The 21,787-nt window shown below is 58.8% G+C and overlaps 1 protein-coding gene and 3 long non-coding RNA genes across 4 annotated transcripts, besides 1 other annotated feature; 2 read left to right on the top strand and 2 right to left on the bottom strand.

The window, feature by feature from the left end:
• On the top strand, positions 1,922-5,782 carry LOC124901808 (uncharacterized). Its single transcript, XR_007060632.1, has 2 exons — positions 1,922-5,142; positions 5,454-5,782. It is a non-coding gene; the product is annotated as an uncharacterized LOC124901808 (long non-coding RNA).
• Positions 3,117-3,785: an enhancer, noted in NCBI's record as "H3K27ac-H3K4me1 hESC enhancer chr7:188255-188923 (GRCh37/hg19 assembly coordinates)". NCBI's record gives its function as "activates a minimal SCP1, AML or CMV promoter by ChIP-STARR-seq in naive H9 embryonic stem cells {active_cell/tissue: H9 hESC(naive)}" and the evidence as "EXISTENCE:reporter gene assay evidence [ECO:0000049][PMID:30033119]".
• Positions 5,783-9,706: 3,924 nt separating the features above from the next.
• LOC124901806 (uncharacterized) lies at positions 9,707-11,279 on the top strand. Its single transcript, XR_007060631.1, has 2 exons — positions 9,707-9,914; positions 10,085-11,279. It is a non-coding gene; the product is annotated as an uncharacterized LOC124901806 (long non-coding RNA).
• A 34-nt stretch (positions 11,280-11,313) lies between these two features.
• On the bottom strand, positions 11,314-18,869 carry LOC105375116 (TRIO and F-actin-binding protein-like). The gene is made up of 4 exons (XM_017012903.3): positions 16,268-18,869; positions 15,192-16,120; positions 13,728-14,620; positions 11,314-13,028 (listed from the first exon to the last, which is right to left on the bottom strand). The coding sequence occupies exons 3-4, from the start codon at positions 14,466-14,468 to the stop codon at positions 12,825-12,827; spliced, it is 945 nt and encodes a 314-aa protein (XP_016868392.1). The 5' UTR covers positions 14,469-14,620; positions 15,192-16,120; positions 16,268-18,869; the 3' UTR covers positions 11,314-12,824.
• On the bottom strand, positions 16,027-17,120 carry LOC105375115 (uncharacterized). Its single transcript, NR_134324.1, has 3 exons — positions 16,756-17,120; positions 16,268-16,376; positions 16,027-16,120 (listed from the first exon to the last, which is right to left on the bottom strand). It is a non-coding gene; the product is annotated as an uncharacterized LOC105375115 (long non-coding RNA).
• Positions 18,870-21,787: the final 2,918 nt, after the last annotated feature.

The following is a 21,787-nucleotide window of genomic DNA, read 5'->3' as shown; positions in this document are numbered from 1 at the left end:
GGACCCAGGGGACGCCAGGGCAGCGGAGCTCCCGGCACCGGTCCCGTCCCCCCCCCCCCGCCCACCCGCGGGACGCGCCCGCCTTAACCCTCCAGGCGCCGGGCCCGCTGGGGGCGCTGAGAGGGGCTGGTGTGCCGGGGGCGCCTTCCTGCTTGGGGCCGACGGGGGTGTGTGAGTGCAGGCGTGTGCGTGTGTGTGCGCATGTGTGTGTGTGGATGTGCGTGTGCGTGTGTATGCCTGTGTGTGTTTGTGTGTGCGTCTGTGTGCATGTGTGTGTGCACATGCATGTGTGTTCACGTGAGTGCATCTCATCTGTCACCCACAACCAGGGGAGCGGTGCTTGTACAACCAGCTGGTGGCTTCTGCAACCAGCAGCTTCTGGCCGTGCAGCTCCCTGTAGGGAATATGAGTTAATCTGGATGTCAGCCTAAGATGTAGTCAGGGAGGTAAGTGTGTGGGAGGAGGCCACATCCCCTGTGCCTCAAGCCGGCTGCTTCCACAGTGCCCAGACTGCCTGGGCCAGCAGCCTCGCCAGCAAGCCCAGGCGGGTGGGCCGGGAGCAGGGCCTGGGCCCCCCCTCTTACTTTCACCGGCTGGCTGTGTTACCAGGGCCCTCTCCGCCCTCTCTGAGCCTCAGTTTCCTCTGATGTGAATTAAGGGCGTTGAGCCCATTGTTCCTGAGGAATCACTCATCTCTGAGCCTGGCCCATTGCCTGGCATTCCGTGGGCACCCACTAGATACTTATAAGGGGAGAAGTTGTTCCAGTCCGGCTGGCCAGTGGAATCCATGCGTCTTGGGCCATTTGAAGTGAGTGAAGGGCTGGGTGCGGCCCACCTGGAGCTGGACTGGAGGCTGTGTTGGGTGGGGCGGTGTGACCTGGAGGTGGGCTGCCCCCTCAGGAGACAGCTTCACCCCTGTGAGTGGACCTCATCCTTCCTTCCTTCCACTCACATGGACAGCACATCTGTGTGTAGACAGGGTCACTGAGAGAGGCCAAGGAGGGTGAGGAGGAAGATCCCGGGTGTGGGGGGAGTCCTGGGGGAGCAGACAGCAGGGACAGAAGCCTGTGGCAGGAAGGAAGGTCTTGGCCTGTGTTCTCCCAGCAAGGGTCCCCTTGGACTTGGAGTTCTATAGGCTCCTGGCCCCCCCATCTCTCCCGTGGTCTACAGGACCTCGACGCAGAGCTGTGGCTAGTGTCTTGGGGCAGACATGGGGCTGAGCAGACCCCATGGAACACTATTATCCGGTGTGGGGGGCCTCATGGAGGTTCCCTGGGCACTTACTTTCACTTGCCTCCTGCCCCCAACTCCTCTCCCCTCCCATCCTCACCCCCAGAGTGGTTTTTGGGAGCCCGGCAGCTATCTGGACCCGTGTGCACCCCTGGACGCCTCCCTCCCTCGCAGAGGGTCCTGGTTCATCTCGTCTGTTGCCTCTTAGAACAGTGGCCTCTACCTCGCCAGGTCCTTCAGAAGCGCCCCCCTCCCTGCCCCGCCACTGTTTTCCCAACAGCACCCGCCGTGGTCTGAGGACACTTTCTTCTGCTCCTGTTTATTGTTTATCTCCCCCAAGCACAAGCAGTCGAGTTAAGACAGGAGCCTCGTTCAAAGTTCCGCCCGGGGCCAGGCACAGCGCAGGCTCTCAGAGGAGGGCCCAGGAGTCCACAGGCTGCGGCGGCGCGAGACAAAAGTCGGAAGACAGGACCCCGCTGAGGAGTGAGGAGACAGCGGCCAACCCTCCGCCAGACCCTTCCGCCTGGTGCCTTTACTGGGCTCTGAGGAGGAATTTGGTGGTTCAGTCGGCCCATCCGTGGACACCATAAAAACAAAGAGAAAACAGACACACACAGATGCACACATAGATACACACAGATACACACAGACACGGATATATAGACACACACAGATACACACACGTGGACACAGACACACACATAGACACAGATATATAGACACACACAGATACACACACGTGGACACAAACACACACAGACATACCCATAGTTACGGATATATGCATGGATACACAATACACAGACACACAGATGATACATGCATAGACAGATATATGGACACACACACACGGACACACAGATACACACATAGACACATAGACAGACACAGATACAGACACAGGCACATGTAGACACACATGGACATACAATACTCAGATGAACACAGAGATAATATACACATAGACACAGATCTATAGATACACAAAGACATACACACAGATATACATAGATGCACACATAGACACAGATACACATGTCATCACACATGGACACACACAGACACACACCAATACACACATAGACATACGAAGACACAGGTACACAGACACGTATACACACAGACACGCATATATACATACAGACGCAGATATACACACAGACACAGACATACACACACACACAGACACAGATATACACAGATACATGGACAGATACACATTCACATACACACATAGATACACAGAAACACACAGACACACAGACACATAGAGACACACACACAGCCACACAGGCCCTGAGCCTCCCTGGGCCCTCCCTTGTGCAGAGGCGGAGGGGCTGGCTGTCGGGGAGGGCACCTGGAGAGGACACACAGCCCCATCAGAGACCAGGGAGTGGCTCTGGGAGCTCTTTTCGTCCAAAGGGGCTGGAGCTCCAGTTAGCCAAGGTGAGCGCCAGGTGGTGACAGGAATGACATAGGAAAATAAGACGGCCCGGGCAGGGAGGGCTGCCTGCTCTGGGTGTGAGGGGATTGCTGTCTTAGACCACGTGGCCCAGGAAGGCCTCCAGGCATGGCTTTGCACAGAAGCTGGTACCTGAGGGCTCAGCCCCGTGGAGGCCTGCGGGGTGGAAATGCCAAGGCTGGGGCAGGGGCATGTCTGACCCTCTGCGGGGAGAGAAGGCCTGTGAGGTGGGCATTGTGTGAGGGGCCAAGTGGCCTCTGTAAGGTCTGCAGGTGGGGCCAGGCTGTGGGCTGCGTCCTGAGTGAGGGGGCCGTGGGAAGGCTGGGGACAGAGGGACGACGCTGGGTCTTGGGTCGGGAGAGGCTCACCTAGGGGCCGGGTGGATGGGTCTAAGGAGGGCTAAGGGCGGGGCAGGGAGAGCAGCTGTGTGGTGAGGACGAAGGGAGGTCGGCCAGAGCCCCCGGGGAAGGGCTGTTGTCATGTGGATGAGCTGGGAATTAGGAAAGCTTGTGGATTGCGAGGCCTCAGTATGCAAAGCCCTGGGACAGACGGGCCCCCCAGGAATGAGGGGGGCAGACGGGCTCCCCAGGAATGAGGGGGGCAGACGGGCTCCCCAGGAATGAGGGGGACAGATGGGATCCCCAGGAATGAGGGGGGACAGATGGGTCCCCCAGGAATGGGGGGGGCAGACAGGCTCCCCAGGAATGAGGGGGGCAGACGGGCTCCCCAGGAATGAGGGGGGCAGACGGGCTTCCCAGGAATGAGGGGGACAGATGGGCTCCCCAGGATAAGGGGGGACAGAAGACCCCAGGCCTGAGGACCAGGCCTGCCCCCTGGCACCACCAGACACCAGGAGGGCACTGCTGCTCTTAATTGAAAGTCTTGGTGCAGGTGAGGGCGTGGAGGATTCCTGGGGGAAGCTTCGTGCTGCAAGGTGGAAAAGACAGATAACAAGAGAAAAACAGAAGCTTAATAGCATGTATACCTTGGTCTGCAAGGGACGGACTCGGGACAGGCTATGTCGCAAAGGCGTGGCTTGGAGCTCAGCCTTAAAGACCATGTTCGACGGAAACAAAGAGAAAGAGTGTGTGGGGAGGGGCCCAAGAAATTACCCCAAACTGGGGTCAGGCCTTCTCCATGGATGAGCGTCTCCGGTGACTTACAGGCGGCCTTCTGGCCCAGAGAGGGGGCACCCTGGTGAGCGCAGATGCCTGTACGGATGTGACTTTCTCTCATAGAACAGCAGCTTCCACTCTTGTTTTCAGAATTTCTCCTGTGGTTGCAGTTTCTCAAAATAAGCAGCTCAAAATAATGCTTATGCCAAAGAGGCATATTTTGGGGTGGCATATTCTGGTCTGCTCTACGTGGAAGCGGACAGAAAAATGGGGCAGAGGCCAGGGAGGGGAGCGGGACCGACTTCCAGTTCCCAGACCCGAGCAAGGGAACCTGAGGCCGAGCTCTGGAGCTTGGGGTCTGGAAGGGGTTCTCTGAGGACACTCTGGGAGTGGGGGAACAGCTGCCTCCTCAGGTTTCCCCCAAGGGATCCTGCCTGGGGAGACCTGGACTGGGCAAGGCTTGGCAGCTGCCCTGCCAGGAGGAGGGAGACGGCTGCAGTGGGGGGGTGCAGGGTCGCTGGGGTCCCACCCGGGGGTGCTGGGACCGGCCAGAGGACACTGCGATTTCCCAATGGGCCAGGAAGGAAGGAGGCGCTTTCCAGGCAGAGCATGACCCCGCACAGGAGGCAGAGACAGAGTCTCTGAGTGTCCCCGTCAGGTCCCTGGGACTGTGGCAGGGGAAGAAGCCGCAGTACCTCCTGCCCTTTAGGACAGGAGAGGTTGTCGTCCCAGCGTTGCCCAGCAGCTGGTTGGAGCCCAGGGCTCCTCAGATGAGCCAGCGCCTGAGCCCTGAGCTGCCAGCTGGCCTGGCTGGAGCCGCCACTGATCTTCCCAGGAGAAAGAGGCCGCCGTGCGTAAGTAGCGAGGTATAAGAGGACGTGTAGAGCCGTGTCGCTCGCGCAAGAAGGGGAAAGAAGGAAGCCTGTCTGCATGGCTGCGCAGGGGATATTGGAACAGAACTGAAGGAACTCATGCAACGCTTCTCTGTGAAGGGGGCACCGCGATGTATGGACAAGGGTGGGAAAGGGATGCTGGGCCATAAAGTTTGGGGTGCGTGATGGTGTGGAGGAGAAAGCCCTCCTGGGAGCTGTGGCCAGGGAGTGTGCAGTCCACGAGCAGATGGAGCTTTATGTGCCTCCCACCTCCTCCCAGGGGCCCCCCACGACTCGCTGAGGCCCCATCAGCAACAGGATGACGGGTTTTCTTTCCCACACAGATCGGGGACGTCCCAGCCTCCTGAGGTGGGGCAGAGGCGGGCACCGCAGCCCAAGAGCTGGCTTTCCCCCTGCACCTCCACCCATGCGTTGGCCTGGAGTGGCCCAGCGGAGGGTCCAGGTGGGGGTGCTGGAGGGGCCCACCCAGCTCAGGCCTGGCACCTGCACCTTTCTGGATCCCACGATGTTTTGCTGAGGGTTACTCATCCAAGACCTGCCCGGAGGCTCCGAGCTGTTTACCACAGGCCAGCTCTGGCCGTAGCCTATTCTGGGAGCCTGGGGGTGCTGGGAGGAGGCTGGGGCTCTGGGTGGCAGGAGGAGGAGAGCCGTCTTGTCCTTACTGAGCGTCCAGCGGGCGCCAGATGCTGCGCCGCGTGCAATTCTAATCCTGGCCGGCAAAGCCAGAACGGGACAATATTCCTTCCTCCCCAGGCCTCCCGCTTGGCTGTGGGTGCTGACGGGCAATGGGCCTGGCTATCGGGGCTCACAGGGGAGCCGGGAGAGCCGCTAGCAGGAGAAAATGTGAGCTCTGCATCTGCTGGGCTGGGTTCGGGGGACGCGGGGTGGCTGGGGAGGGTCGTGCTCGTCCCTCCGGCTGCTGTCGCTGGCCCGCCGGCCAGTCCGCCCCAACGCTGGACTCCTGGGCTATCCGTTCCCCACCCACCGTCTGAGGGTCTTTGAAAATAGAACTCATTCGTTTTCATTAAAAGCAACCGATCAAGAAGCCGAAAACACAAGAATAAAACAATGTAAAAGCTTGACTTTATTTTGTATCCGTCAAACACAGGACTCACAGTCCGTTACACATGGAGCATTCGCAACACTGATCATGTTCTGATGGTCACACAATGTCGGGAAATTCCAAAAGGCAGATAATCTAGAGTCTGTTCACGGCATCCACACACACACACCGGTGCACAGGCACACGAGCACACAGTCTACAGATTGTTCGTAGACACAGTGTGGTATAATGAACAAAAGCTGGCTTTAAAAATAGTTCTACCTGGGCCCGGTGCGGTGGCTCACGCCTGTAATCCCAGCGCTTTGGGAGGCCGAGGCGGGTGGATCACCAGAGGTCAGGAGTTCGAGACCAGCCTGACCAACATGGAGAAATCCCGTCTCTACTAAAAATACAAAAATTAGCCGGGTATGGTGGCGCATGCCTGTAATCCCAGCTACTCGGGAGGCAGAGGTGGGAGAATCGCTTGAACCTGGTAGGTGGAGGTTGCAGTGAGCCAAGATCACGCCACTGCACTCCAGCCTGGGCAACAAGAGAGAAACTCTGTCTCAAAAAAAACAAAAATTAGTTAGAAGGAAGTGGGTCAGATGTGGCCCCTACGGCCTCTCAAACATAGAATTCTTAGTTCTCTACCAAGAAACTACTTAAAGCAATGACCAGACTTCCAGGCCTACATATTAGTTATATGAAAGAGTCCAAAAAAAGTCCAGGGGCTGGGCTCACAGGGGCTCACACCTGTCATCCCAGCACTTTCAGAGGCCTAGGTGGGTGGACTGATTGAGCTAGGAGTTCGAGAGCAGCTGAGGAAACAGAGGGAGACCCCATCTCTACAAAAAATAAAAACATGAGCCGGGCGTGGTGGTGCGTGCCTGTAGTCCCAGCTTCTCAGGGGGCTGAGGTGGGAGGATCTCCTGAGCCCAGGAAACCGAGGCTGCAGTGAGCGGTGATCACACCACCGCAGCCCGGCCCGAGCAACAGCTGGACCCTGTCTCAATAAAAACCCAAAAATCAAAACAGCCAGACCTCTGCTTTCTGACCCTCGTGGGCCCTGTGAGGCCGCAGCCTGAGGGAGAAGATGCCCAGGGCTGGGACAGCCGCACCAAGTTCCTGCCGGAGTCGGGGAGGCCAATCCTGCCGGGGGCCCCGGAGAAGGCAGAGCAGAGGGCACAGCACCCAGGGATTCAGCCGGCCCCGCGTCCTGGGGATGCTACCTGACGGGGTGCTCTGTGCCCTAAGGGGCCCTTGAAGGCAAGGGGATGGGCTGCAGGCCACCGAGCCCCAAAGCCACATCCCCAGACCAGACAGCCCGAGGAACTGGAGGAGGAGGGAGGAGCTGGCCCCACAGCAGACGGCACTTGGCGTGGCCGCAAGCTGGGCCGGCCTTAGCACTTTGCACGCAGAGTCTCAGTGAGTCTTTGCTACAAAGCACACGTTGCTATTATTGTGGTCACTATTTTTACAGAGAAACTTGACCTCTTCGCCAGCCTCACCCATTCAGCCCTATGCTGGGTTTAAGCCATCTTGGAATTCTGGACACTTAGGAACAAGAAGCCCACATCTGCTTCCCAGGGTCCTGCCCTTCCCTGGGGGTCCCCGTGCTGGAGGCAGCAGTTGGGGTGTGGGAAGGAAAGGCCAGCGCTGTGGGAGGGGCTGGGCTGAGGGTGGGCTTGGAGCCAGCACATGGGGGCTAGGTCCGGCTTGTCCCTCACCAGCCAGACGGCACTGGGCATGTCAGGGAATCTCTCAGAGCTCAGTTTCCTGCTGTGGGAGGGAGCTGCTGGCTCTCACCTTGTTGTGAGGACTAAACTAGCTGCCATCTGTGGCCTGCTAGTCATGGGGCTCTGGTCCTCTTGTCACTGGATCTTGGCCTTGACCTCCCCTTCTCTCTCGTGAAGCTGTCGGCTGCGTGGAGACACAGCCACTTCAGTCCTCTCATAAGCCTATGCCCAGCATCTGCCAGGGGCCAGGTCCTGGGCTAGTAACCTGGCACTGGGAGCCCAGGCTCCGCTCTTGTCCAGGGGAAGCTGCAGCCTTGGGAAAAGCAGGTGGGAGACGCAGATTCTAAGTACCTGACCGAGGGACGCCTCGAGGACGTGAGGGAGGCCGGGCACCATCCGTGGAGGGGCCCTGTGAGCGGGCCCAGCAGATAGACAGGGAGCACCTCCATGGAGGAGACAGAGAACCCCTGTGAGGGCCCCGTGGCTTCTGCAGCTCCCGGTGCTGGCTGTGGGTGGTTTGCCGGTCGGCCTGCCTGTAGTTCTCAGTGGCCGCTCGGAAACACGTCCTTTCTTATGAAGACGCAGACGTCACAGCCGAGTTGAAAGGAATCTGAAGAGGATTTGGGTGCTCCTCTGTCACAGCCTAGATCATCGCGAGGCCACGGCCCCCCAGGACAGAGGGGCCCGGGGAGGGTGGGGACAGGAATTGAAGACATGATCAATTAAATCGTCTCCTTCCTCCAATAGGTAGAGTATGATCCTGTGTCCATCAACACTTCCTAACGTGCATGTAGAAGCTAAAATTGTTAAGATTTGCGAAATACTTTTACCTCGAAGTTGGCAGTGACATCATTCTGTTTTTTCCTGGGTGCGGAGGAGTAATTTCAGAAGGAGACATTTTGTAAAATTAAAAGGTATTCACCAAATATTTCATGCATGAGTGTAATCTACAGGTTTGGTGATTAGGGATGAAAACGCATACATTAGACAAAAAAGATTGGATATTTAGAAGCAAATTTGAGATTCAAGTGAGGATAAATTACAGGGAACCTCTTATCAGAGCCCGTACATGCCTGGGTCTGGAGTGAAAGCCTCGGGCTACGGCCTCAGGTGTGGAGGAGGTGGGGTTCTCTCTCCTATTCAGCCTCCCCTTCCTCCTGGGGAAGCTGCTGTGCTGTCGCTGGGGCTGGGCCATTGACTCCCTGTACCCCACCAACCCCACCACCAAAGGGGTCAGTTCAGGCTCCAGCTCCCCCTCCCTCCCCAGCTGTCGGTGCGAGCCCAGCTGTGCCTGCCCTTGGTCCCCACAGGCTCTGTCCTCCGAACACCAGGCTCTGTGTGGGCCCTGGGAGTCCTGGCCCGAGGGGTCTCCCCCTGGGGAGCGCTTGGGAGGGAAAATCCTGCTCTCAGGGTCTCTGAGTCCAACCAAGACAAAACCTGCTCTTCTCAACAGAGGCATGAGCTCCTCCTTCCTGGCAACCTGGGGGATCACAAAGACAGACGGCACCTCCCCAGGCACCTGCGCCTGTGTCCGACGGCAAAGCCATTGTCAAGCGAACCTGATGCTGTCACTGGTCACCCGGAGCCCATCAGCATGTTGACCCGGGGCCCATCAGCATGTTGAAGGCACTTTCTTGCTGTTACAGGGGAGGAACTGCTAAAGAGGCCACCAGACACAGAACACAGTGATAGTTTTAGGTGTAAAATTATTGCACACAGATAAATTCTGGAAACAGCTGCCTAGAAAGTTCTTTATATTGGAAAGTGTGCTTTGAGGTCATTATGCCGGATTTTATGGCCATTTCTTGGCTGAGCCCCGGGATGGCTTATGTCTTTGCAGAAAGGCATCATCACATTTTATGAATGACAGATGGCTTTTACCACACCTTTGCATGATCGCTTATGGTAATAGGACTGCGGTGCCCTGAGACGTGGGGATCTGCGTGAGTGCCCCCGGCAAAGTCTGCTCTTCCGGCCTCGAATCTGGATCCCAGGTGAGGCCTGAGGATTTTATTTCTTCCTCTGATCTCCCTGCCGGCGGGGCCACTGTGGCAGGACAATTCGGGGCCCCGCCCCCCAGATGTGCAGGTGCAGGCCAGTCTCGGGGGGATCGGCGGCTCCCGGGGGGCTGTGTCGGGGGGATCGGCGGCTCCCGGGGGGCTGTGGGATGGTTCCTCTGTCCCAGGGCTCCCGCACGGGAGGGCTTTGCACGTCCACCCCTCCTTTCCTTGGCTAAAGCCTGTTCTTACCAGAAGGTGAAATGAAGACGATTCCTTTTGTTCGGTCCCCTCCACTCCTAAACTCTGTCTAGAGCAGGGGTGGGCTCCCTCCTTGTCTGTGCCGCCCACTCGCCTCCTCGCCTCCTGTCGCCTCCACTCCTGACCCCCATCCAGAGTGTGGGATGCTGGGTTGCCGGTGACCATGGGGAGCCGTAAGGTGAGGGAACCCAGCTGGAGACCAGGGCCCACACCAAATCGTGAGCCTGTTTTTGAAGCTACTGAATGGGTGGAACTTGACTGTTCAGGGGACCCTGGAGGACTCACTCCTTTCCACCTGTGTCTCTGCTGGGTCTCACCTGGCGCCCCTGGCGATACCTGGCTCTGCAGTGGAGCAGTCACCACCGCACCCTCCCCGTAGCTCCATCCCCACGCGTCCAGGATAGCGTGGCCGCTGGTCAGCTGCCGACAGCACACATAAGAAGTCATGGATGGGTCCGAGCGGCTTCCAGGACTCAGCACCCAAAGCAGCCCCGTCCTGACGGTAACAAGCCTGCCCCATGGGGCGAGGCCCTCTCCCCTCTTCCTCAGATTCACCCAACCCACTTCTGTCTGTCAAGAGCAGGCTTGAGGAACAGTCAAGCTTGAGTTCTCTTGGCCTTTCCTGGACATCTGTCCTGAGGCTGCTCTCATTTAAGCCTCACGGAGGAAACCCAAGTTTCTGCAGCAGGAGAGGGGCGTGACCCCAGGGACAGCCGGAGAAGACGGTGTAGAACCAGCTGTCACGGAGCCTGATGTCCGGCCTGGAGCATCAGCCCATCACCTTCAGAGTGGACCCGAGGGCCTCACCTGCCACCTGGGGGACAGGTGAGAGGCGGCCAAGGACCCCAGACGATGAGGGGCAGAGTGTCTGCACTTGTCACCAAAGGCTTCCAGGGAAAAGCGGGGATGTGTGGACAGGAAGGGGCCGGCGGGTGGGATCAGGGCACTGGGCGAGCCAGCTTCCAGTTATGGGGGCTGCGGGCAGGGGAAACTCGAGCCCCTTGCGGCTCCAGCCTTGCCAGGGAGCCCGAGAGCTGGGCTGGCACGCCGCTCTGTGAAGGGCTGGACGGTGTGCTTCAGGCCTCGAGGTCACTCTGCCTCTGGTGCAAACGCTCACCTCTGCCGCTGTGGCCCAGAGCAGCCTTCGACCCACGTGATGAGTGTGTGTGGCTGTGTCCCCACATCTCCTTGTTTATGGATGCTAAAATTTGAATTTCCTATAAGTTTCACATGTCACAAAATAGTCTCTTGATTTTCCAACTATTTAAAGATATAAACATCATTTTTAGCCCTCTGTTGGACAAAAACAGAGGCTGACTTGGGCCCTAGAGCTGTAACTTCTACCTCTGCCTTAGATGACTCTTTTTAAAGCATTCTAGCTGGGCCTGGTGGTTCCCACCTGTGGTCCCAGCTACTCAGGAGGCTGAGGCACGAGGACCTCTGGGTCTGAGAGTTCGAGGCTGTAGTCAGCCGTGACTGCACCCAGCCTGGGTGACAGAGCGAGACCCTCTCTCAGTAACTAAATAAATAAAAGACAAAAAGAGGTAATTTTGTCTGGATATTGTAAATATAGGCTATTTCATGAAGTTTCAATTTATTCACACTTTTTAAAGCGCACTGTGTTGCAGCAGGACTCATACCTGCTGTGTAGCTCAGAGTTTGTGAGTTTCCTCCTGGACTTGGAGACAGCTCACGTCAGTCCAGCCCCGGCCAGGCGATGGACAAGGCCGGCTCTCCTAGGTGGCCCTAATATCCGACTCTCTAGCTCACTCCACTCAAAGCACCCGGGACGGCCCCTCTTGTGGCGGGGGAGCCCCCAGGGAGGCTGAGGCCGAGGGGGCGGGTGCCAGCTGTTGCCCAGCTCCATGTGTGAGAGGCGTGGATTCTCCAGGTCAGGTCCGCTCCAACAGACCATTCCACAAGGAGCTGGTGTGACCTCCGAAGCAGGGTCCTGGCAGGAGGGGTGTACACGCAGGGCTGGCCCTCCCTGGGGTCCCCCTGACGTGGGCGCTCCTGGGTCTGGGAATGTGGGTTTGCTTCCCCCAAGGGATCTGTTCTGTCTCCTCCCCTGCCTCCCTCCCTCCTCAGGGTGGGCTTCAGGCAGCAATCAGCTGCCCAGGGCCTGCCTGACCTCCACCCCCTGCACCAGGGACCTGGGGCTCCGGGGCCCACTAGGCACAGAGGCTCTCCAGCCGGGCCGTGGCCTGCCCCCTCCTCCAGTGTGGACCCTCCGGACAGCTCATCCCCCCGCAGGCCCCTCCATTTGGAGGCCCAGGCTGCTGTCTGCAGGGGCAATGGTCTGTGATGCCAGTTTTAAAGTACAGGATTACAGAAATCCTAAAATGTGGATTATTTCTGACCATCAGAAACCACACAAGCTACATTTGCTGAAATCCTATTGCTCTCAAGGGCTGTGGAAGAGACATAACCCGAACCTCAACCCTAACCTGGGAAGACCCAACTGCGACCCATACAGGGCTCTGGGGACCCGAGGCCTTGGTTCGTGCCGGCCACTCGCCTAGTGCTCCCTCCAACCACCCTTCCTGGAAAACTCTTACCCACCCTTCAGGAGCCTCGTCAGATATCACCACGCCTGTGAGCCCTCCTTGATGGGTTTGCTTCTCCTCCTCCCGGGCGGCCCCACGGCAGCTTGGCCATCTCACACCTCATCCTGGGCCAGAGGCCTTGAGAGCTGGGACTGCCTCACCCTCCCCTGTTGTCCCAGCCCACAGCCGGCGTTGCAGAGGGCCCGGCTCTCCCTCCCACTGTTCCCCGCTGCCTCTGGACCGTGTTCTCCCTGTCTCCTGCCCTGTCTCTCCCTCCGCTCCTCGAGGCACACATCAGCTCAGCCCCGCCTAAGCTCCTTCCCAAGGACAGCTTTGGGACCTCTTGTCCCAACCAAATAAACCCTGAGAGCAGCCAGCTACCACTTCCTGCCGCTGCGGCTTCATCTGGGACAGAAGAGTCCACGGAAGCAGCTTCTCTTTTCTTGGACTCCGGCAAAGGGGTCACTTGAGGCTGCAGCTGGAGCCGGTGTCCCCGAGGAGTCGCCGGGGAAGGTGCTTCCCAGCAGATCTTGGGATCACTGTCAGGAGCTTGAGAGGAGCCAACAGCGGCTAAAACAGCGATTTCTACAAACGTCACAATTCAGCAACAGGCCTGCTTCTGCCAACACTCGGGCGGCCGCTGCTGTTCCTGCCTGGGTCCGTTTTCCTTTAGACGCATCGTCCGGTCCGCACGAATCTAACAACCCTGACGGTTGCAATCTGCCGTGGGAGATGGAGCTTCTTACCTGTAAAATATTAGTGCTTAAAACCACAGCTGTGGGACTGGTGTGTAATTCCAGCTGCCGCTGCCCACCTGTCATCACGGAATTCGGAGATCACGTCTTTCCCTCCGCATCTGGACTCTACCTTTCGGCTGCCTCTGGTCTGGGGGCCCCTCACGAGGGATCCAGACACAGTGGGCAGAGGCGACGTCAGAGCGGCTGCCCCCGCAAGACACCTCCTGGAGGCCTGAAGCCTCGCGGTTCTTAGACGGGCACACGGGGACCTGGGAGTGAGCGTTTGCTGAGCGCCTGCTGTGGGCCTGTGCCCGGCCTCTACTCACTGTCGCACGGCAGCAAGACTCCCCGCAGGCGGGTGATCGCGTCCCACCTAAGGCGAGGAAACAGGCTGGAGGACACGAATCGGGGGTGCGATGCGGCCCCAGAGCCCGCCACCTCTTGCAGCATGGAGGGGCCTGCATGCAGAGACCACACCGTGGCGGAGGCCGCATCTGGGGCCGTGAGGGGACAAGCCCAGCTGCACCATCCTCCTGTACTTCCTCCTTTTGAGTCTGGCCTTCGGGAGGGAGGACAGTGGATACCAGGCCTCAGCATCTTCTCGGTTAAACCGAGGAGAGACCACGTCGGGGTTTCTGCCCGTTTCTACAATCCGAGCAGGACGCTGCCTTCCCGACCTCACACTGAAGTGCACAGTCCCCTCCTCACCACTGTGGCTTCAGGGACGTGGTCGGCATTCCCTCTGTGTGGCCTGCTCGTCCTGGCTCCGCGTGAGGGTTCCATCCCTGAGCCCGGTACTGCAGGACGCCCCAAGCAGCGGAGGGAAAGGCCAGTGGTCCTGGCCCACGGGGAGCCTGGGGTCTCTGCCTTTGCGAGCTCTGGGGCTGGAAGCCTTGGTTTCCTCCTCCATGCACAGGAGCACACAGGGAGCCTGGGGTCTCTGCCTTTGCGAGCTCTGGGGCTGGAAGCCTTGGTTTCCTCCTCCATGCACAGGAGCACACAGGGAGCCTGGGGTCTCTGCCTTTGCGAGCTCCGGGGCTGGAAGCCTTGGTTTCCTCCTCCATGCACAGGAGCACACAGGGAGCCTGGGGTCTCTGCGTTTGCGAGCTCCGGGGCTGGAAGCCTTGGTTTCCTCCTCCATGCACAGGAGCACAGAGGGAGCCTGGGGTCTCTGCGTTTGTGAGCTCCGGGGCTGGAAGCCTTGGTTTCCTCCTCCATGCACAGGAGCACACAGGGAGCCTGGGGTCTCTGCCTTTGCGAGCTCCGGGGCTGGAAGCCTTGGTTTCCTCCTCCATGCACAGGAGCACACAGGGAGCCTGGGGTCTCTGCCTTTGCGAGCTCCGGGGCTGGAAGCCTTGGTTTCCTCCTCCATGCACAGGAGCACACAGGGAGCCTGGGGTCTCTGCCTTTGCGAGCTCTGGGGCTGGAAGCCTTGGTTTCCTCCTCCATGCACAGGAGGAGATGCACATGGTGCAAGACAGGTAACCAGGCCTGCGAAGAGTGGCTGCCTCTAAGGTGCTCAGTATCGGGGACCGGCTGAGGGAGGGACGTGGTCGGTGTAGCAGGGCAGGAGCCAAGACGCCTTGTGCAGGAGGAGTTCCCTGGGAAGTGGAGAGAAGGTTTAGAAAGTGAGGAAAAGGCCAGAGGCAGCAGGTTGAGTGTGTCCAGTAACCACAGGGCCTTGGGCAGGACACCCCGTGATGTCAGCCAGGCCTCGGCGGTGCCCTGGGGAGGGAAGGAGCTCGGGGAGGTGGTCACAGACCTCCGCTGAAGGGGGAGGGCTCTGCTCACCACGAGCTCACACACACGCGCATATGGGTCGGCCTGTCCGGCTTATGGAGAACAGCCAAGCCGGGGGCAGCAGTTCCCACCCCTCAGATCACCTGATCCGGCCCAAGGATGAGGCACTGGTTTCCTACCACAGGCACCAGTGGATTTCTTTTCCCAACAGAGCTTGGATGTGGCCAACCAACTGCTCAGCCCACACGCAAGGCTGCTGTTGCGGATGGACCAGATCTGGGGTGATAGCTGGAGCCAACCTACGCGTCAGCTGCACCCCTGAGCCCACGCCCCACCCACCCTGAACAGCTGAAGTCAGTTTTCAAAGCAGGATTCACTGCCTCCCACCTCCCTGCACCTCAGGGAACTGTTTCAGACCCTGGTGGGACCTACCCCGTGGGCCACAGCCTCACACCCGTCCTGGGGCTGGGAGCTGGCAGCATCTCCGGGACACCAAGGAGCCCCCTGACGTGGATGTGGATGAGCTTCAGCTGAATGAGGCGTCCTCCCAGGGCCGGCCAGGTCACCCAACTGACTAAAGTGTGGGGCGGTGGCCGACTTCGTGGTGCTGGCTGTGCTGCTGAGTTGCTGTGGAACCCTTTAACCTTTCTGTGCTACTGTTTTCAATATTTTGAGTGACCCGAACGATTATGCAATGTAAGGTATCATTATTGTAAGAAATTGCATCATTATTGCCCTCCTCCAGGCTGAGAGAGGAAACCTGAAGAAGGCCAGATAGGCTGTTCCCAGTCTTGCCCACCTGAGGGGCAGGACTTACTCACCAGCCTGGGCCTTTCAAGACCTATCAGCCAGCAGCAACGATGGAGAGCCCAAAGGCAGGGTGCAGGGCAGGGAGGTGTGCAGTTGTGTGTCTGGGCAAGCGTGCATGCACAGGTGTATACATACCTGTATCCGTGTGTGGCCATATACACGTACATATATAGACACACCAAACACACAAACGTGCATACATGCCTGTACATATATGTGCCCATATACATATGCATGCACACACTTGCCAATCGCACATGTGTATGCACGTGCACACACACACGTACATGTAAGCAAATGTGCACATGCATGTACCTCACATGCACACACGTGTTTGTGTGTGTACACATACACTGTATTCATATGTGTTCATGTAAACACAGGTGTGTGCATGCCTGTGCACACGCACACACACACAGCCACACACACACAGCCACACACTCCCTTCTTCAGCAGGAACCATGATGCAGATCTTCTGCATACCCATAAGCTAAGCGGGCAGCGCCGGCAGAATCAGATGCCGCAGGCAGCGCCGGGGACTGGTGCAGAGCCTGCCATGGGAATAACATGGAAGAGACAAAATCTAAACACACCCCCATCTCCAAAGCACCCCACACACTCACAGAGGCAGGGTCTTCCTGCTGGCTCCGCTGTTCGGACTGGGGCTGACACCAGGCTCCCCGGGCTCCCAGCCTCACCCACGTGTCCTTCTTCATGACTGTAGCTTGCAACAAAGTCCTTTAGTCTGTTTCTTCACGATTCTCTCCCTGAAACACGGAACTCAAGAAGAAAACGCAGTTTTCGCACCTGAAGACAGAAGTATGACCGCAAGCCTTGAGCTGCATCTCGCATTAAAAAATCAAGGCCCAGATGCAAGGAGACTTCAGCTCAGGGGATGGGGGTAGTTGGCAGCTTCCTCCCACGTGCCGCAGGCGGTGGCCCTCAGCCACGCTGAAGACCCCTGCCCCTCTCTATGGTCCTGGGGGCTGGGAATGCCTCTTGGCGGAGAGGGGCTACAGCAGGAAGCAGCGGTGGTGGTGCATGTACGGGAAAAATGAGAGATGCCGAGACTTTTGCCAATGCAAACCTCTCTGCATCCTCAAGGCCTGTTCCTCCCAGAGCTGGGACTCGTGGCCACCAAGCGCTGGGGTCCTGTTCACCCTGTCCTGGCCCCGCCCTGCCGTACCTTTCTTGCTGACACTAATGGCCTCCCAGGGGTGCTTCTTGGCCCCTCTGCAGGGGAAGGACAGCTCAGGGGAGCGGCGAGGTGGGGTCGTGCCGGGCACACCCAGACGTCTGATCGCCACGCTGGCTCCGGCCAGCACAGGCGGCATGAGGCCCACAGAGTGCCTGGAAGAAGCCCCACACAGCATTGCCAGGTGGAAAATGCAGGGCCCAGTGCCCAAAAAAGACCAAGCAAAGTTATTAGGCCTCAAGCACCTTTCCAGCTTTCCTCTTAAAAAAAAAAAAAGGCAGAAACTTTCTCTCTAGGCCAAGGATAAATTAGCTAAGGACAAATGCAGCCCAATGATCATTTATCATCACAAGCCTGGAGAGGATCCTGGGAGTCCTGTCCTGGCCTCAGGACTCAAGGGCAGAAGCTGCTGCTTTCCTTCATTATTTCTATTTTTAACAACTGCGTTCAGGCTTCCTGCAAAAATAGCAAGAGGTGAGGCCATTTCAAGCACTAACATGCTCCCCTTTTGTCAGAAAACCCCAGGATGCAGGAAAAAGCGGCCAGGACTTCAGCAGTGTGGCACCAGCGGAGCTGAAATGGTCCTTCGCTATGCCCTGATCCCTCGCCCAGCAGTACAGGGGGTAAACTGAGGCCAGAGAGGGCAGGCAGGTGCCCAGGCTCATTCAGTAACTGAGACCCCAGAACACTGGGTGCTGCCCCCTCTGAAATGCAGGGCCGGGTGGCCAGGGCCTGGCTTCCCTTGGTTGACAGCGGGACCTGGTCCCTGCCTGGCAGAGGAGCTGTGAGGGCAGAGCCCCTGCCGCTAGGCATCCCACTTCTCTGCTGTCCACCGTCGCCAATGCACCTGCCTCAGCAGACCCTGAGTTCGTGTGCGTCACCTGGCCCCGCAGAAGCTGGGCATGCTCAGTGTCCCACCACAGGGAAATCAGGACGTGTCCCTTTGGAAGGCAGCTAAGGGGTGCAGAAAGGGTTTGGGAACCTCCTTCGTGCATACCTGTGTGTACCTGTACATGTGGATGTATGCACATGTGTATGTACAAATATACGTGTGAGTGTGCATACACGTGTGCGTGTATGTGTGTGTGTACATGGGTCAGTGCATGTCTGAATGTGCACAGCCACTCCCTCGAGGCCCAGGGAATGGGGCCTCTTTTAAAAGGGCCAGAAGCTCCAGCTAGCTGCCTGCTCCTCCCCACCCAGGGTGCTAGGCATGGGCCCCCCATTCTGAGGGGCTGCACTGAGACTGAGACAACCCTGGACCCAGGCCTTGCCTCTCTACACTGGAGTAACTCAGAGAAGGTGACAGCCAAAATTCACTCCTGGTCTGCCAGGCACCAGGAGGCCCTCGCACACCGCTGCCTCTCCCTGGCATGCATGGAGCCTGGGGTCCCTAACCCTAACCCTAACCCTAACCCTAAGGGTCTTGTTGCACGTCACCTGCTGAGTGTGGCTCGGGAGTGTGGGTCTCAGAGCAGGAGGGGCCCTCTTTGGAATTCACCCTCTGCGAGGCTTCCACGCCGGCCGGCCTCCTCTTGGTGGCTTGCTGTGTCTGGGCCCTGGCCTAGCCCTGTGGTGACCTCATGCTGGGAGTGCAGAGCCTCCCTCAGAGCCCCGGGCCCCATGGCCCCTGGAGAACCTCCTGCTCCTCAGCGATGGGTCCTGGAGAGTCCACAACTCCACTCCGAAACCAGATCCCGGAATCTGAAATCAAGCTCACCGGACCAGTGTGTCCAAACTGCCCCTAAATCCTGTGGCCGTGCCCCTTCCCGACAGACGCCCCGTTAGCTCCCGCTGCAGGCAGGCAGCCAGCGTTCCTGAGGCCTCAGGCTGTCCTCTCTCCGCTCACAGCAGACTCCCCACTCCCTTCCTCGCCCCTCTGTGGGCAAACCAGGCGGCTCAACCCATCCCGTGTTCATTAACTCCCTCGTCTACAGCCCCTGGGGTGGGCTGGCCCAGCCGAGAGAAGGTTCCCTGCGGAGGTCCCTGCCCCATCTGTGGACACAGTGCTGAGACCCCCTCGCAGTCCTCAGAGAACCCAAGCTTCGGCACTGGCAGCGCGGGGCGGGTCCTGTCCTCCGAGAGCCTCAGCTGGACTGGGCTGACCTGGGCCCTCTCCCTCCGCACTGGGCTGACCTGGGCCCTCTCCCTCCGCACTGGGCTGACCTGGGCCCTCTCCCCCCGGACTGGGCTGACCTGGGCCCTCTCTCCCCGGACTGGGCTGACCTGGGCCCTCTCCCCCCGGACTGGGCTGACCTGGGCCCTCTCCCCCCGGACTGGGCTGACCTGGGCCCTCTCCCCCCGCACTGGGCTGACCTGGGCCCTCTCCCCCCGCACTGGGCTGACCTGGGCCCTCTCCCCCCGCACTGGGCTGACCTGGGCCCTCTCCCCCCGCACTGGGCTGACCTGGGCCCTCTCCCCCCGGACTGGGCTGACCTGGGCCCTCTCCCCCCGCACTGGGCTGACCTGGGCCCTCTCCCCCCGCACTGGGCTGACCTGGGCCCTCTCCCCCCGCACTGGGCTGACCTGGGCCCTCTCCCCCCGAACTGGGCTGACCTGGGCCCTCTCCCTCTGAACTGGGCTGACCTGGGCCGTCTCCCCAGCTCCTCTGACCCGCTCTTGTCAATAGGTGTTTTTCAGGCTTCCTGGTTTGCTAAGGGCCCGCATCCCTCTCCTCACTCCCCTCGTGAAGCCAGTGTCACAGATAGGCTGGAGTGGGCTGCCTGAGAGGAGCTGGCCCCCTTCTCCGCACGTACCTCCAGCTTGCCCCAGGGACCCTCATGGCAGCTGGACGTTCCCACGAACACGAAGTGTCCCCCACTCTCCAGGAAGGGCCCAGGTACCCTCTGTTCTCCAGATCTCACTGGCTCTGCTCCCTCCAGAGGGAGCTTACAGAGAGCAGAGTCTGAGGCCCTTGATGCCAGGATGGTGGGGGTCCCGGGGTGGCTGCGGCTCCTCCAGCCCCAGAACTGTGTCTGGTGTGGTGTTCCACTGAGCAGGGTTTGCAGGCCTGTATAGAATTCCAGGAGCAAGCCCTTGGCCTCCTAGCCCCTGTGCCCCACCCAATACCTCCCACTTGTCCCCATGTGCGTCTCAACCTTGTGTCCAGGCTGGACCCTCACGCGGGAGCTGAGCCCTCCAGGGGCCCTCCCCTGTCTGCACGTGCAGGTGCTGCGCCCGGCTCCGTGCAGATGCTGTGCCCAGCCCTCTACTCTCCGCAGTGTCCAACACAGAACTGAAGCGTGCCCCAGCAGAAAACGCAGATGACCGCATATTGAGATTTTTTAAAATTTCTGTGAATGTAGCTTTTAAAAAGCACCTGAAAGTAAAATGATCATTTCTCAACATAATATTAGTCAAAGAAGTTACTGAGTACCTTCTTGGAACTTGAAATATCCTCCTGAAGACAGGAAGCCAGAGGCAGGAGAGGAGGTGTGAGCCGTGGGGCTCTGGACCTGAGAGAGCTCCCCCTGGAAAGCAGTGAGAGAAGGGTGCAGGCTTGCAGTGAGAAAAGGGCTGCCCTGCAGCGCCGTGGCCCTGGGCTTGTGCGTCCACACGCAGGCACTCCGGGCGCCCTTTGCGCCCAGGACACGGAGGGGAGGGGACACGGCCTTCCGTGTGGGTGTCGGGGAGGAGGCCGGGGTGGCCACAGGTGGGCGTGCGCTGCTGCAATGAAACCAGCCGTGTTGAGTGGCTACACTGGAGAGAGCTGCTTCCCAGACAAGGGGAGCCGGGAGGGGGGTCGGGGAGCCGGGAGGGGGTCGGGGAGCCGGGAGGGGGTCGGGGAGCCGGGAGGGGGTCGGGCAGCCTCAGGACGGCCAACCCCTAACTGTGAAGGAGGTGGTTGTACAGGCCCTTGATGGGGACAGCTTCAAACGCTGCTGTCCCACGCACAGAGCTGAGACTTTATGTAAATTGCGAGATGGCAGCAGTGCCCGTAACGGCGGTTTTCCTTGTCTGTTGCTGCTCAGCAGATGACCCTGGCCTGGATCCTGAACAACAGGACGACTTTTTTCTGTGGCCGGGCGGCCTCTCCCGACTGCGTGGTCTCCAAGCTCACTCGCATGGCGGCTGGTGGGATTCTCTCCTGGGGCTGCCGGCACTGCCTGGGGTTCCTGCTGCATGCGCCTCTCCGTGGGGCCCCTCACTTCTGGATACTCCCCAGAGGACGCCAGCAAAAGGGTAAGACAGGCCACAGGTGTCCCAGCCTCAGCCCAGGGGAGGCAAGGCAGCCTCAGGCCACCCCCGGGACAGGCTGCATGGGGTGGACACCAGGACATGGGCTCACATGGCCGACATGCACATGGTCTGCCATGCGCCCCAGATGCCCACTGATGGCAGAGCGGGTGCACAGCCTGTGGGGTACACACAGGAGAATCTGGACAGGAGTGAGAAGTGAGGACCCCGCCACTCTGACATAGCTACGACAGGACTTGTCTCAGCCATGATGCTGAGACCAAAGGGCGGACCCAAAGAGGACCTGTCCATGTTCCGTTTGTAGAAAATCCTACAGCAGCCGAACCAATCCACAGTGTCAGATTCAGAGCAGCATCAGCGAGAGGAAGGGGGTGGTGGATACTGACGAACCAACCCTTGCGGGTCCTGTCAGCGCCCAGCGAGTCACCGGCTCTGTCTCTCGCCCCTCCTGAGAGACCCCAAAGGTCTCATCTGAAGTAGGTGTTTGTGGCCTTGTAAATCTGCTCAGCCTCTTTGGAAATCAAGACTCACAAGTGATTCACTCTCACCAACTCGACAAGGCCATTATTCGATGGAAGAAACAAGAGACAAAAATAACAAGAAGAAGACAAACTTCCATTTCTAAAGGCATTTGTGGTATTGCCTGTAAAAGTATTTAAATTGGGAATCAAGAGAGTGTTTTCAGCATTTGAAGGATGGATGGTGAATAGTGATTTAGGAAATTAACGCAATATGTACAATTATTGGCAATGACGTTTTCAAAGTGACAGATCTTGAGAAGACAGTGCCGATTGTAAGTTAAAACCGTGTTCTATGTGCACTAAGA

Source organism: Homo sapiens, chromosome 7, assembly GCF_000001405.40.
Source record: "Homo sapiens chromosome 7, GRCh38.p14 Primary Assembly".
NCBI classification, from domain to species: Eukaryota; Metazoa; Chordata; class Mammalia; order Primates; family Hominidae; genus Homo; species Homo sapiens.
The sequence above is the reverse complement of the archived record's forward strand: the minus strand, read 5'-3'. Positions and strand labels throughout refer to the sequence as shown.